The 16,584-nt window shown below is 37.2% G+C and overlaps 1 protein-coding gene across 13 annotated transcripts in view; it reads right to left on the reverse strand.

The window, feature by feature from the left end:
* The window catches only part of USP6NL (USP6 N-terminal like), a 151,141-nt gene that overhangs the window by 14,031 nt on the left and 120,526 nt on the right, over nt 1-16,584 (reverse strand). For 12 of the 13 annotated variants that reach the window (XM_024448263.2, NM_001391960.1, NM_014688.5 and 9 more), the window contains 6 exons: nt 16,292-16,340; nt 14,562-14,682; nt 11,277-11,371; nt 10,629-10,694; nt 10,431-10,530; nt 7,230-7,382 (listed from right to left, as the gene is read on the reverse strand). In XM_024448263.2, the coding sequence (XP_024304031.1) occupies nt 7,230-7,382; nt 10,431-10,530; nt 10,629-10,694; nt 11,277-11,371; nt 14,562-14,682; nt 16,292-16,340 (584 nt within the window). The remainder of the gene's footprint in view (nt 1-7,229; nt 7,383-10,430; nt 10,531-10,628; nt 10,695-11,276; nt 11,372-14,561; nt 14,683-16,291; nt 16,341-16,584) is intronic. The other variant, NM_001391961.1, reaches the window with a different exon arrangement.

Consider the following 16,584-nt stretch of genomic DNA (forward strand, 5'->3'; position numbering starts at 1 on the left):
ATGTTAAAATTTGCCAGATTTTAAAATACTATACTAACTTTTGTAAACTGAATTAAATGTAAGGAAGAAATACGTTTCTAAATTTGTGAGTTTAATAAATACTAATTTTTAAAATCTAAATAATCCTGTGCATAGAAAATTTGTCCTTGAATTAATGATTTTTTTTAAAAAAAACTTGCATCAACAAATGACTACTGCAAAGGGCTGCTGGAAAAAATTAAGTTAATATGTGAATTCAAAGCATTTAGCAAAAAATCTATCATAGAAGACTCAGTTTGCTGTTATCATTACTACTATGTGACTCAAAAGCGGCCGGGGAGGTGGGATGTGAAGTGTGGAAGCTGCGGACAGAAAAGTGCTATACCTTACACTAAGGAGTGTGGATGTTCTCCCGTAAGCACTGAAGTACCCCGAAGGCTATGGCCATTTACCAAGACTAAAATGGCTCTGTCAACTATTCTGAGAAAAATCTTTGATTCTTCTATCTAGGTCATAAACTATAAATCTGGCTAAATTGGCAGTCATAGTGGATTAACATAGGCTTTCTAACCAGAATGACTTCCGTTAATTGACAAAAGTGCTGCCAAATGGCTTCATCTGAATAGAAGACAGCATGGGGGAAAACCAGTAAACAGAAAACTAGGAAGCATTTACTCTGCCTTTTCAGTACTAACTACATTTTAAGGTAACCAAAGAGTTACATTTAAGGTAACTCTCTTGATAAGGGAGGAAAAACTCTTTGCTACAGAAGAAAGTTTGCCAAAAAAAAAAAAAAATGTAAAAGAGGCTGGGTGCGGTGGCTCACGCCTGTAATCCCAGCACTTAGGGATCACCTGAGGGTCAGGAGTTCGAGACCAGTCTGACCAACATGGAGAAACCCCATCTCTACTAAAAAAAATTACAAAATTAGCCGGGCGTGGTGGCATATGCCTATAATCCCAGCTATTTGGGAGGCTGAGGCAGGAGAATCACTTGAACCTGGGAGGCAAAGGTTGCAGTGAGCCGAGATCGTGCCATTGCACTCCAGCCTGGGAAACAAGAGCAAAACTCTGTCGCAAAAAAAAAAAAAAAAAAAAAAAAGTAAAAGAAATCACTGAATTTGAAAATCACTATTTTGCAACCTCTGAAGAAATTTGATATAGGCAAGGATTATCAATGGAAGCCAAAAGCATGAGGGAGAGCGTTAAAGGGAAACTGGACATCTCCATACAGTGTCAAGACATCATCCACAGATTATCTGCTAACTGAAAAGATTTTTTTTTAATTAAAAAAACTTTTATTTTAAAACAAAAAGATATGATTATCGTCAGCAAACTCAGCATCTCCAGTATTAAGAAAACAGTAGTCACTGTGGGACTCCTGTCTAATCTAAATCTTATTAAACTGCTACATCTAGCTTCTAGTTTGCTGAAACTACACAGAACACCAGGAAAGAAAAACCAGACAACTCCTGAGTGTGCGACATTCCACAGAATAGTGGGACTGTGCTCTTCAGCAGCTCAGTGTCATTCAGAGGAAAACAAAAGGTGGGGTGAAGAGGGGGGAAGAGGAAAGGTGTACTGCTCCCTGTCAAGCGACTTAAGCCCATAACAAATACAAAATGTAGCCCTGACTAAGTGCTGGTGAGAAAAACAGCTTAACAGGCAGCCTAAGGGACAACTGGAAATCTTCCCACATGGAGCTGGCCTGAGATGATGCTGAGGAGTCACACTGTAGTCACACTGTTACACTTGTTAGTGTAGCAATGGCATTGTGGTTGGCTGGGGGAAGGTCCTTGTTTCTTGGCTACAGAGACAAGTATTTGAGGTGAAGTATCCTGATGTCCTTATTTTCACTTTAAAATTGTTCAAATAAGCTGGGCAATGGGTACCTGGGAGGAAGTCATTATACATTTCCTTACTTCTGAATATGTTTGAAAAGTTTCACAATAAAAAAGTTTCAAAAAATGTTTCAACAGCAACTACAAAACATACAGAAATAAAATAAAGGTACAAAAATGCTAACAATAGTTAAATCTATGAGGTGGGCATATGGGTGATCATTTTTAATTTTTACATCATATTTCTCTGTATTTTTGATAGTTTTCATAAGTAAAATAAAAGATGCCAAACCCACACACAAAAACCCCCACAAAACTCCTCTTCACACAAATCTAGTCAATGAAAACCAAAAATTTAAATGGTAGACAGTGTATGTAGATTATAACAATGATAAAAAACTACATGTCAAAAAAACATAGACATGAATACAGCAAAAGAAGACATGCCTTTCAACACTTTTACAAACCACCCCCATACTATGAAATAAATAAATCAAGCATTTGACTTTTTTTATTATTATTATTTTTTCAAGACGGAGTCTTGCTCTGTCACCCAGGCTGAAGTGCAGTGGTGCGATCTTGACTCACTGCAACCTCCGCCTCCCAGGTTCAAGCAATCCTCCTGCCTCAGCCTCCCGAGTAGTTGGGATTACAGGCACCTGCCACCACGCCCCGCTGATTTTTTTATTTTTAGTAGAGACAGGGTTTCATCACGTTGGCCAGCCTGGTCTTGAGCTCCTAACCTCAAGTGATCTGCCCGCCTTGGCCTTCCAAAGTGTTGGGATTACAGGCGTGAGCCACTGTACCCAGCCAAGAATTCGACTTTATGGAAAAAAGAAGAAATAAACTAAGAAAATCAGAATTAACTAATTCAAGAGCTGATTCTTGATACAAGCCAATTAATAAAGACTAAATTCTGGATAATTTTATCAAAGAGCAGGAGAAGGTACAAAGAAAGTGAGAAATGAAAATGTAGGATTGTTACAGATATAAAAAGAACCGTAAGAGATTGCTTTGCAAAACCTTACATAAATATATTAAGAAACTAGAAATGAATAGCTTTCTAGGAAAATATAAATGACCAAATGACCCACATTGACCTTAGAAGATAAATCAAAACATTAACCCCCAAAACAATTATATCAGACGGAAACAGTTTCACAAATATATTTTCGAGCTGTTAAGGAATAATTTTAATACTATGTAAAAGTTCCAGAACACAGAGAAAGAAGGAAGGCTTCCAAATTATGAGGACAGTATAACCTGACAACACACAGACGTTTTGGTTAACTGCAATGAAATCTCAGGAATAACCATTCAAAATGTTAAGTAAAATGTTAGACAGTATAAATCAGCAGTACTATAAAGGAATAATTTATAACAACCAAGTAAAGTTTATCCAAGAATTGCAATGAATCATTCACCACTAGGAGGTACATTAACAAAATTATTAATGTGAAAAGGTTTTAAAGGGAAAAAAATGATTATTTGTGTTCAAAAGGCACTCAAAAAAACTGAGCAAGCACTTTGATTTTTCAAGAAAACTTAAAAACAGTAATAGATGAATACTTTCTAGCTATTTTCTAAAAAACAGATAGGATGCATGAATACTGAAAAGGAAGAGGAAGAACTATTATTTGTTGAAGATAAGATTTTGTATCTTAAATCTTAGAAAACCTAAGATAACTGATCAAATATATTGGCTACAAAAATATTATTAAAAGGATACCAAGAGTTTTCCTAACCAGTTAGAAAGAAATGGAAGAAAATCTTCAACTTGCAATAGCAATAAAAGATACAACTATCCCCCATAGGACGTGGCACCCCTGCTTTGACTCTGTTTGGGTCTCCTCTGCAGAGCCCCTGCTTAGGCTCCAACGCCAGTGGCAGCAGCGACGTCCACACACCTGAGGCTGTGGAGAAATGGCAGTTCTGTAGCACACCTGTGGTTGTCCAGTGACCACCTGCTGACAGCCACGTTTCATATGGTACACGAGTGGGGGATGGAATGTGAGACCAGAAATGTCTTCACAGTCACATGAAGAAAACAAACCTCAACGACTGTAAAATAAAAGCTTTTACTTAGAAAAACTCAATTTTTAAAATATCAATTTTCTCTCAAAAATCCTTAATGTCAGTGCAATCTCAATATTAATAAAATACTGTATCTGAATACCACTAAAATACTAGTGGATTCTTTTTTGTAACTTGACAAAATAATATAAAATAATGAGGGGACATTTGCCCTAATAGATATGCAAAGTGTAACTGGAGGCCGGATACTCCTGTTATCCTAGCACTTTGGGAGGCTGAGGTGGGCAGATTGCTTGAGTCCAGGAGTCTGAGACCAGCCTGGGCAACATGGCAGAACCCTGCCTCTACAAAAAATACTAAAATTACCCAGGAGTGGTGGCATGCACCTGTAGTCCCAGCTACCTGGGGAGACTGAGGTGGGAGGATCACTTGAGCCGGGGAGGTCAAGGCTGCACTGAGCCATGATTGAGCCATCACACTCCAGCCTAGGCAACAGAGTGAGACCCTGTCTCATGTTTAAAAAGTGTAACTGGAAAAGCAGAGAGCAATGGAACAGAATAGAGTGCCAAAATGTAATGTAATAAATGCCACTAATCCACATGACTAATGGTTTGGAAAATAAGCAGAGCTGAGTTCTTATTCCATAACAAAAAGTAAATTCTAGATGAGCTGAAGATTTCATCATACTCAATTATATCTCAATGAAGTTGTACCCATAAGCACTGAAAACATATAAATGTTAGAAGAGAAATATGGGTACTTAAGAAAAAACACTTCATCCAGCATGTGGAAAATTCTTTACAAAAAACACAAAAGCAAGAAGCCATAGGGAAAGCTGTATGGAAGGTGTCTGCAACACATAATAAACTGGCTAGCCTCCTTAACAAGAACCTGTATGAACAGACCAATAGAAAAATGGGCAACAGATGAACAGGGAAGTTCACAGAAAAAGAAAGAAGGGTGCCCCAAAGATATCTAAGAAAGATACTCAAAGAACTACCAATCAGAACAACAATGGAAGACTCTATCCAATCAGTAAACATTTTAAAATGTAACAGCACCATGTTTTCATGTGGGCCTAGGAAAACAGGCCTCATTGCACATGACTCGGGGGAGTTCACACTGCCACATTATGTAAGGAGTCAAAAGGAAGTGGCATGTTCATGTAGGTGTTTTTTTTTTTTTTGGTTTTTTTTTTTTGAGTCGGAGTCTCACTTTGTCGCCCAGGTTGGAGCGCAGTGACGCGATCTCAGCTCACTGAAAGCTCCACCTCCCGGGTTCATGCCATTCTCCTGCCTCAACTTCCCGAGTAACTGGGACTACAGGGGCCTGCCACTATGCCCGACTAATTTGTTGTATTTTTAGTAGAAACGGGGTTTCACCGTGTTAGCCAGGATGGTCTCGGTCTCCTGACCTCGTGATCTGCCCTCCTCGGCCTCCTGAAGTGCTGGGATTACAGGGGTGAGCCACTGTGCCCAGCCTCATGGAGGTTTTTAAAAGGACAGATGTGACATGGAATTTTCTTGGTATGAGGTTCATTTAATTATCTTAGTGTTCCATATACAGTTCACAACAATTTAAAAAGAATGACAGGCAGGCGATGAAAGGCAGATGGTCGTGCTAGAAAACGCAGAGATGCCTAATCCATTCTACCTTCACTGCCAGTATGATCAGAGCATGATTCTGCTATCATTTATTCCTCCCCTTTTCTCCCCTGCCCCATTCTCTGTCCCCATTCTATCATTTCCTGGTAAAACGATCTTACAGACTACTGCTACTAGGTTTCCCTATCTGCACAATGTAGATGAGCACTTTTATGAGTTATTTTTAGAGATTAAATGAGACGGCACCTGTGGTACGTGGCACACAGTAAACACCCAATAAATATTAGCTGCTAATTAGATGCTAAGTCACCACCATCGCAATCCATGACACAGGTTTTGAATTATCTCACGTTTAAATAGTTCTATATTTTTTCCTCTATATTTGACTTTTACTAAAATTTGCCTTGACCTCTTTTTATAGAAGGAGGCAAGGTATTTAAAAATAAATGATAGTAGAATAAAATAAATAAAAATAAATGATAGTAGAAAACAGAAGTCATTACACTGAACAGGAGAGGGCTGACCTCACTTAACAAAGGCAACGGCTCCACAAGGCCAAGGCCCACACCCCATTACTGCTGTGAGGGTTGCTTCCTAGGAGCCTGGATGACCTTGAGCAAACCTTGGAGCAGTGCTGATTAGACCCTTCTCAATTAAGTAAATAAAAGCAAACATCTTGGTTTTTACCAAAAGGAAAAATGTATTTTCCATGGAAGTACTGCTTGTCCTTCTGTACAGACACAGCCAACATGACACACTGATGGGGAAACGCCAAATTCACCTCTGCATGAGGGCATACATAACTGACTTTCTTTACTTTTCATCTCTTGCCCATGACCTTCCACTTCCCTAGCCTCTTACTACACCCATCCACTGCAACAAAGGTAAGAAAGAAGAAAAGCGAAAGTAACTTTTTCTCAAGACATACATGGTCAAGTACTATCTGGTAGAAACTTTGAAAGTTATTCCTCCTGTGATCTTTCGACATTTTCATTTTCTTCCCTCCCTTCCTGCACTCCCCTTCTTCTGCTCCTCTCCCATTTACCCTGCGGCTAGCTCTAGTAATGCCCCATTCACCCTCTGTTATCATTCTCGTATATTCTAGCTCTCCAGTGCACACCCTGAGAGCTTCTCATCTTTCTCTTCAGTTCTTAAATCCCCAGCAAAGTAGTACCTAGCAGAAAACCTATTAGTAGGTGCTGAAAAATGTCTTACAATAAGTGAATAAAATATATTATCTATACTGTAGCATACTACAAAGAGCCCTGGGCTAGTAGTCAGAAAAACTGGCCTGCAGTCTCAGTAATGCTATTTGTGGTTCTGTGGCTTCATATTTAAGCCACTTAGGCACTAAAGTATCAATTTCCTCATCTATAAGATGGGGCTTTTACTGTACTTACTATTGCTGTACTTACTATTGTATACGGTTTCACAAAATGAGATGAAGAAAGCAAAAAAAAGCTTATTGTTATGCTCGTTTAAAGCACCATGGCTACTTCTGTTGAACAACAGTATTTGCCAACCAAACTTCTAAATGTAAGCAGGAATAGTACAGTCATCTATTAGGAGAGGCAGATTTAATTAATATGTTTATTTGCCTTTCCCTAAAATAAGGAAAAAGCCAAAGCAGCTGAGCTGGTAAGGCATTCATCCACATTATGTCATCACAAGTATAATGCTTACGCTGTGGGCAAGAAACAGCCCATGTTAATTATGCCATGTCTTCCAATCTTAATTATAACGTAGATATAAAGTATTGGGGTAATTCTTACCAGGTTCTGGAAGGTCTAACTTTGCCCGCTTTAGTTCTGTCATAGAAATCTGAAGTTGCTCTATCACAAAATCATCTTCAAAGAAAAAATCCTTTGCCAGGGTCTCCTGAAAAAATTCTACAAGTTCTTCCATGGACAATTTCATTAGATGTTCTAAGAAAGGATAAGAGAAATGAAAATGCCAAGTCAATAGCTACTTTAGGTAGGAAGATATTCTATTATATTCAGGTGTAGTGTAAAAGGGCATTAAAAAGGGCGCAAGCAGCATACAACTTACATATGGCATTGAGGACATCATTAAAACTCAGTAAGACAAAAATATTGCCTGATATTAAAGCAGCCACAGAGAAAAGCAGGAAAGTTTACTGGGAGAAAGGATGGGAGGAGAATACTGCCTAATACTTCCTCATTGGAATAACCACACCTAGGCATTAGTATTACCCCAGAGCAAGAGCTTCTTAGAGACAGACACAGAAAGACTACCTCAGCCGGCATGAGGCCTTTCTCTTTTATTGATACGGAGCTCCAAGAAGCCCCATTTTAAGTCTGTATTTCTTACTGTTTCAGAATTTCCCAGAACATCTGGATTATTAATTTTGTGAGTTTTATTTCTATTTATGAAATTCATTTTCTTGGAAAAAGACATTCAAATTAAATATGAACACAAAGCAGAAAGTAAAAATCTGCTCATTACATAATACCCTACATAATACACCTCATTACATAACACCCTACAGGTAGATCCAGGTATTTACAAGTGTTTATGTATATCAATTGAAGAATCCAAATTATACTTTTCAAGTTATTCCCCTTTTTGCTTTTTTCCCCATTCACTAATGTATCACTGATATCTCTCATTTCAACAAATATGATGTGTACTATATGTAAGCATTGTAATTTACTTAAACAGTCTTCTATTAATGGTCATTTAGGTGGTTTTTGATTTTTTATTATTTAAAACCACTGTGTGATGAACCTCCAGTAACAACGTATTTTTAAGACAATCAGTAAGAAAAAAAAGAAAAAGGAAAAAATTTCTTATGAGCTTTAGCTAACTATTGGTTAATATGCCCAGAAAGAGTTTTTCTTTTTTTTAATTGGCTAATGACAAATTGTATATATCTGTGGTAGACAATGTTTTGATATATGTATACACTGTGGAATGACTAAGTCAAGCTAATTGACACATCATTACCTCACATACTTATCTGTCCATAGTGAGAACATTTAAGATGTACTCTCAGCAATTTTCAAGTATACTGTACATTATTATAAATTATAGTCACCATGCTGTATGACAGCTCTCCAGAGCTTACTCCTACTGTCTAACTGAAACTTGAACCAGCATCTCCTCCCATCCCGCAGCCACCCTTCCATTTCGGAAGCTTTATATGGTGGAGACGGAACTTCACGTAAGTCTCTAACCAAGAAAAATACACAGCAGCAGATTTGTCCACAGCTCATTTAGTCTAATGATACGGTAGCATGTAAAGCAGTTGCTATGCTTAACATTTATTTACAAGGGTAAAGAAACTTTTTACTTGTCAAAATTAATCAAGGGTCATATAAGTAGAACAATTTAAGAAGCAGATGAGAGCTACAAAGAAGTATGTTTCTACTTCCTCATTCTTGAGGGAACATTAAGCTAATGTCTCTTAATAAAAACTGTACTTCTGTTCTCTATTTTGATCCCTTAACAATCCAGAAAGAAAGTGGGGGGGGAGGGGAGGGAGAGAGGGAGAGAGGGAGAGGAGAAGAGAGAGAGGGAGAGAGAGAGGGAGGGAGGGAGGGAGAGAGGCAGGGAGAGAGGAAGAGAGGGAGAGAGGGGGAGGGGGGAGGGGGAGAGGGGGGGAGAAGGGGAGGGAGAGGGGGAGGGGGAGAGGGGGGAGAGGGGTAGGGAGGGAGGGAGAGAGGTGGGGGGTGGGGAGGCAAAAGGCAGTGTTGGGGGGCCGGTGCGGGGAGGAAGGAAAAGAGATTTCACGAGATCAGATGACAGACTTGAATCCTGGAAGACACATAGTCAATTGTTTTGTTCTGGTGCATTAGTTGGGGAAAGAAGAACTGAGTATAAGGGAAGTGAACCACAACAATTCTGAGTCCTTTTCTTGAAAAAACTAAACATAACAAAAGTGCTTTTAAAGGGCATTTTCATTCCTATCTAAAGTATGGATAATCTGGCACTCCTGCAGTCCATGCTTTTCAAGTAAGCAACCAACCAATCTTATAGTAAAGTCCGTAACATGTACTTAGAACAATGCCAAGCACAGCAGAGAGAAAAACTATAAACAAGACCCTGTGCACTCAATTAGTTTATAATTTAGTTGGGAAGCGCAACAGATCATTCAAGAATAACCTAAGAGAGTTGAGTGCACAATGAACATGAAACTATGTGGTATGACCTGGATTAGAAGTACGTGTACGTATGAAGCTCTAGAGCTTTCAATGATTTTCTTTTCTGCATAGCTACAAGAGAAGTCACAGAATTTTTAAGGCTGAATTGAAACTTTAAAGATGAACAAGGTTCTTCATGAAAAAAAATCTCATTTCTTTATTTTAAAGTAAGGCATAACATATCAAATTTATAGAGCCCTTAAATATATTGCAACTGAAGACTAAAAATTCTCCAGTTTTTTTTTTTTTTTAATCTTGCTCCATTTATCTGCCTATAGACACTGGCTGAACTTGCCCCAGAGGCCATAATGCACTGAGGTAGAGAAGTGGGTCTGTGTGCTCCCAACCACAGTTCAGCTGGGTGCTATTCTCCCTGGATGAAGGAAACAGTAATAGAAAACGTTCTCTCCAGCCTTTTGAACTAAGGGGCCTGGTTTCTTTGGTCTTCCTTCTCTTACTGCAAACTTGAGATTCAGACTGATGAAAAGGACAAGGGATCCCAGTGGAAACAAATACTTAACGAAAAATATTACTAGTGAAACCAACTAACTGCATTCTATAAAAGTGTGAAAATGACACTAATATAAACAGAAAAGAACCAAAGACCTTTGCAGTGAAGTAAGCTTCTAGTCATGAGAAAGAACTTACAAAAGTACATTACCAATTGATGATAATTTCTCCACTGATTTTCAAAAAAAATTTAAACCACTATTAAAAGACAATGAAGTTGAAGTGGGTGGGGAATGAGAAATCAAGGTTAAATAAGCCTCAATTTTTAATGAAATTTTAAGAGTTTAAGCATTTTCTTACTTTTGTGTAATTTTAAGATGGTGTAAGACATAGCAGTAAGAACTCGTTCTCCTTCAAAGATGTAGATATCCCATATTCTGAGGTTTAGTGTAAAGGGAGTCTACAATTAAAAGCAAAACAAAACAAAAATAGGGTTAACAGCTTCCCCTCACCTTGTATTTATAATTTTATGACTGAGTTTTGTAAATAAATACTTACACGATCAAGGAAACACTGAAAAAACCATTTCATTGTGTAAAAACTTGTGTAGATTTCTTGAGAATCCTGAAAAAACAAAGAGCTCACAATTTATGGATTGTAGCAAACTAAATTTAACAAAATAATACTAAGTTAGGAAGGCTGTTGGATGCAGCTATCAAAGCTAAACACATTTACTTCTCAAAATCACTCCAAGAATAAATTCCTCTTAGGACTGTAATACAACAATTAGATTCTCTTTAATATATTTTACAGTGAGCTTTCTTTGTTTTACTAAACTACTGTGTTTTATAGTAAGGCATATATATAGTTCACTAACAACGAGTTTCTGTGACCCTGAAAAAATATTTTTTGTACAATGAAAAAACCTCCAAAACAACTGGGAGATCCCATATCTTTAAATTATCACATTGTTTGTATCATTAGCTTCAAAGAAGTTCAAATCCCTCAGTAAGAACTGTGATAGCCTGTCAATATTAAATTTTACAAATCTAATGGTTTGTAAACAACTGGGAATTATAACTGCATAGTAAATGAAATGGATGACACTATAAATTAATAAGGTAATTGGACCAAAGACAATTTAATTATCCCAGCTTTTTTTGGGGGGTGGGTAGGTGGGTGTAAGTCAGTGGCACATCTACCTACCAAGTGTTGCTTAAGCTTGGACAGAAATTTGTTCAGTATTTTTTCATGATGTTCTTGAAACCTCAAGAGTTTAGGAAAACCTTGGACAAAAAAGCCTAGAATACAAACATAAAAACAACATTTCATAAACAATACCAACAAAACCCTCCAATCTTAAAACACAACATATTTCATTTGTAACTGTCAAAAATAAAAAGAAACATTCAGTAGTTACCAAAATATTTTTTCTCCCCACCTAGGAAAAAACTGTATATAAGCTTTGGGTAATGAAACTTTTAGCCTAGGATTTGTTTGCTAAAGATCTTCTATAACTTTGTATTTTTGAATTTAAAGGGAAACCTTAAAAAAAAAAAAAAAAGGACACTGAAGACATTTATCAAGATTATCTGTTCTTTTAAGATATTGGGCCATATCTTAAATGCATATATTTGTAATATATTATTCCAACCCTGACTAGTCATTTTGTTTTACTCTTAATATGTTAAATAACAATTTATTACTTTTTTCAGGCTTACTCTAAGAATTTCATTAGTATAAAGTTCCCAAAGTTTTAAATCGCTTTTTAATCCTTTCCTAAAAAGCTGTATTTAACATCTGCTAAAAATACAGGCACTAGATGATCAATGTTATATCCAAAATGGTATTTTATCCCAAGTGACTATACAATATAATCTATATCTAAGAAGTAACAAATTACAAATGGTTAGCATTAATTTTGTGTATTTAACTCATTGAACTTTACATCTATTTTTCTTCATGATATTCTATACAATCCATTAAAAAGAAAGTCCACTCAACAGACTTGATGATTCTTCTACATTAGGATCCAACCTGGGTTCCATGCAACTCTGAAAGATGTTAACAGACGTTCTATGCTTTTGAAAAAGAAACCAGAGGACACATTTACATCCTTCTTAGATATTCATGAGGCATTTTAGCTTATTAATGTTCTTGCCTTTTAGACTTAATGAAACTTGTTTTTCTTTCACTCAGTCTCCCACACTTATGTGATCTTGGAGTCCATTTTCCCCCCAGAAAGTCTGCTGCCCCAAAATGAAACTCTATTCCACCAAAAACCTGAGGCACATGCTATTGGGCAATGGTGCTTTACAATCTACTGGGCAGAATTATTTCTTAACTAGTTCTCAGTTTTCTAGGGTGTGTGTAAAAATTTCCAGAGACAGAAATTCTATTTCTCCTTTAGTAATATTTTTCAGTGAAATTGTTTCATTAAAAAAAAAAAATCCGTATCTATCAGTGCCACTTTCATAGTCAATTTGATAGGAATGGAAGTTGAAAAATTTTCAAGAAAAGTCTAATTTTCGAAAAGTCAATACAGTTCAGTAATAACTAGCTCAAGAATGCTAAGAAGCCTAACAGTTCTTCATTTTCCACTGATGTTCCAGATCTCATATTTTATATTTTCATCCTTAGCTTCAATTCCACACATTTATAAGTGAAACCACCTTCACACTAGAAAGTAACCTTTAGTTATAAAATTTCATAGGCAGACATAGAAACAAACATCTCTAAGTATAAACTGACCCTTAATAATGAGCCAAACTACATTCTAAGTAGTTAGGATAGTAGAATTAATATTGTTTTATAGATTAGTCTAGTGACAATAATTGCTGAAGGTAAGCTATCAAATAGGTTTAAAAGAAATGACCACTTCCTAAAATTGGACAGTCTTGGACACAATTACATACCAGTTAAATTTGCATTCTATTGTACCTCAAGACAGATCAGCAACACAATCCCACGGGAAAGCAAAATAAAGACTGACAGGGAAGAGCGGCTTTCTTCAAGATGCCTTTTGGAATGATACTGCCTACTGGATGGCAACTCAATATAATAACATGTCTTACTTTTAGAGCCTATTTACTAGATGCAAAGCGCCCAGACCCAGTTACCATGCAGATGATATTTGTTAAGTAATTGGCAAGAAACACTAAGGGAGAAAGACAAATGCAAACACATACATACCCCCCTCACTCTTCCACACACACACAATATCCTCACATGGTCAGAGTGTGAGACTTCACAAACAATGGGCTATAGAAAGTCATAATTTTGAAAATATTAAAACAGTACTTTAAATATATAGCAGGTTCCTCACCACACAAAGCTTATTCACAAACTGAACTTGGAAGATCCATTCTTAGAATAACTAGTGTTAAAATTATTTTAAATTTGATATTAACACTTAGAATAACTAGTGTTAAAATCATTTAAATTTGATGGCACTGGGAAAATAATTTTGCATTATATGAACAAATGCCACTTTTATTTCCAAGACAAGTTGTGATCTAAGGGCGGGGGCTGTGGCTCACACCTGTAATCCCAGTATTTTGGGAGGCTGAGGCGGGAGGTTCACTTGAGTCCAGGAGACTGAGACCAGCCTACTCAACATAAGGAGACCTCATCTCTACAAAAAATTTAAAAAATTAGCCAGGCATGGAGGCACATGCCTGTGTGGTTCCGGATACTAGAGAGGCTAATGAGGCGGGAGGATGGCTTGATCCCAGGTCAAGACTGCAATGAGTCACACCACTGCACTCCAGCCTGGGTGACAGAGCAAGACCCTGTCTCAACAGTTGTAATCTAAACTCTCTGAAATAAAGTTTATTGCTTAATTTGGCAAAAACAAGGAAACAGTTATTATAAACAGTGTTAACTTGAAAACCAAAAAATCAGCAGGTTCTGAGATATTAAATAATCGAGTGCCTAGAACACGTTATCAACCTTTTATTTAAAGTGGAACCAATTTTATGTGAAAAAACAAAAACTACACTTGAAATATAAAACTACTTAATTATTACCTTTTCTTTAAAAACCTAAGTGTCATTTCTCAATTACTGTTTTTTTGACAAGTTGTTATATATCACAATATCCAGTCAATGGTAAACATTTCACTAAAATGATAATTTCATGACCATCTAAAAGTTTTGATTAAAAGGCATCTTTTATTTCTCCCAATAATATACCTGTTCTTAAATTCCTCCAAACCTAAATTAGTTTCTTTTGACCAAGGGCAAGTAAGGAAGAATTTTAAAGTGCCAACAATATACCTTGGAGTAAAGACAAAGGAAAATAAATGTAAATGTTTTAGAAAAGTTCAATAATGAAAAATGAAAGAAGAAACTAGTAACAAATACTAATGAACTCAACGAGCCCTGAGACATTAAATTTGCTGTATGTAACTCTTGCAAGCATCTTTGGTTTTGTTTTAATCTACTTTTTTCCCTACCTTGATTGTTTAGATAAAGCACAGGGTTTTCTTACCATGCATGGCATGTTTAGGGCCTGAGAAGAGTTTGACCAGGGCCCAGAAGGCATCTTCCTCGTTCATATACATGAGGAGTAAAGCTGTGATCTGGCTCATCCCCTGACAATACCCGACTTCCTGGGGAGCAAAGGGGAACACAGAAGCTGGGGAGTTCAGTCGAATTACATGCATATGTACAGAGAAAAAGCTACTCTATAAAAACCAGAAAATGCCTACACACATCATTTAATGGTCCATTCTAGAGACAAATACTATACTCTTTACAGTATTATGCCACATAAGAGAATAAAATTGTGCTAAAAAATAAATGCACAGGTACAAAGTCTAAATTGCTACATATTTTTATTGGACTCGGTCTTCAATACTGTCACACTTTCTTTAAAGAGTGATAATATTTATTTCACTTTATGTATGATTCTTAGCTCACTATTCCTCTTCTTTGCTCAGTTGCTGGCAAAGTCTCCCCTTCTACAACACCCAGTATGCTGTCTTGTCTCCTCTAGATTTCTGAACCCTTAAGCAGACACATCTTGGGATGCCCATGCACAGTCTATGCCTCCTCTCTAAGAAATACCCACTCTCCCCATAGTCCCTGCTTATGATGTGGCCTTAAGGATTCATGCTTGTGCCACAGGAACCACAGCTAATGGACCAGAAGAGGACAGCTGACCCCAGGGGAACAGTTATTTGGTTGCACTGACTCATCAGACACTGTCTCTATGAAATGTGAACAAAGCCAGAGACTGTAATCAGATGGGGGTACGTACTGGAACAGAATGCTCACAATGAATCTGTGGGTGCAATCTGAGCCGCAGTATAACTGGCCAGTAGGCAAAGGAAGCAATCTGGAGAGAGAAACAGTGAACTGAACAGTTCACAGAGATCATCTGAGATACTGAGTGGCCCCCAGAATGGGAGAGATGGAAGGTGCAGCTTTCCTTCTCACCAGACGCTTCCCACCTTCCAGCTCCAATTCCGGTGAGGCCCAACTAGTGCTTCCTTCCTATGAGATGTCCCTTTAAAAACCCCTTTTTAACTTTTCCTAGTTTGAGCGAATTTCTGTTCTTATAATTTAAAGGTTTTAACTACAATAGAAATTATACATCCCAAGGTTCAAAGGTCCTCCCTGGGACCTAGTCAACAAGTATTCATTTAACACCCACATTAAGTCCAACACAAATTAATCTATCCCAGATTATCTTCTCCCCCAACAATGCTGAATGCCTTAAGAAGAGCATGTCTATTACCGAAGAGTTTAGCCTCCTCCTGGGGATAGCCAGTAAGGGCATAGTTATCTTGTTTGGACCTCACCTAATAGATAAATGTGATTGTGAAAAGTAACCTCCCAAGAGCAAAGAGAGTTATAAAAAGTCAAGCAAAAATTAACCAAGCCACCCACTTCCTGTCCTTCTACCCTGTATATCTGCTTAAAAATAAAAACAAAACAACACAAAACATTACAAAGCAAAACAATATGGAGGGAGAGAGAAAAGGTGAGACTCACTGGCATACTGTGGTCATATTTAGGTTCTTCCACTTCAGAATCAGCTCTGTTCTAAGGCCCTAGGGTTATCACAGGGTTTCAGCTTAAAAAGATCCACAGAGCTAAAGAGACCATGGAGACCACCTAGCTCTGAGATGCAGAAATGTGCCCACAGGGCCCTGCTAAGTAGGGAGTACCTCAGAATACAACTCAAAGACCTTGGGCAGGCAGGCCCCAACTTACCGTGTTATAAATAGAATAGGCAGCAAGCACATGGAATAAGGATTGTTGCCTAGAGAAAAAAATTTACATTAAATACAATTTAGTAATTTCACATATTTTAAAAATTACAAACTTAAAAAAATAAACCAAAGACTGACTGAAAACAGATAATCCAGATAAAATTACTAATGTAATAAATTATCCCAAGTTCAAATTCAAACAACACTCTAAAAAGTCTAAATTCAAGACTAGATAATATTCATTCTGAAAGGATTTATACCAAGAAAACACAAAACACTTCAAAATTCCTAAAA

This window comes from Homo sapiens, chromosome 10, assembly GCF_000001405.40.
Source record: "Homo sapiens chromosome 10, GRCh38.p14 Primary Assembly".
NCBI classification, from domain to species: Eukaryota; Metazoa; Chordata; class Mammalia; order Primates; family Hominidae; genus Homo; species Homo sapiens.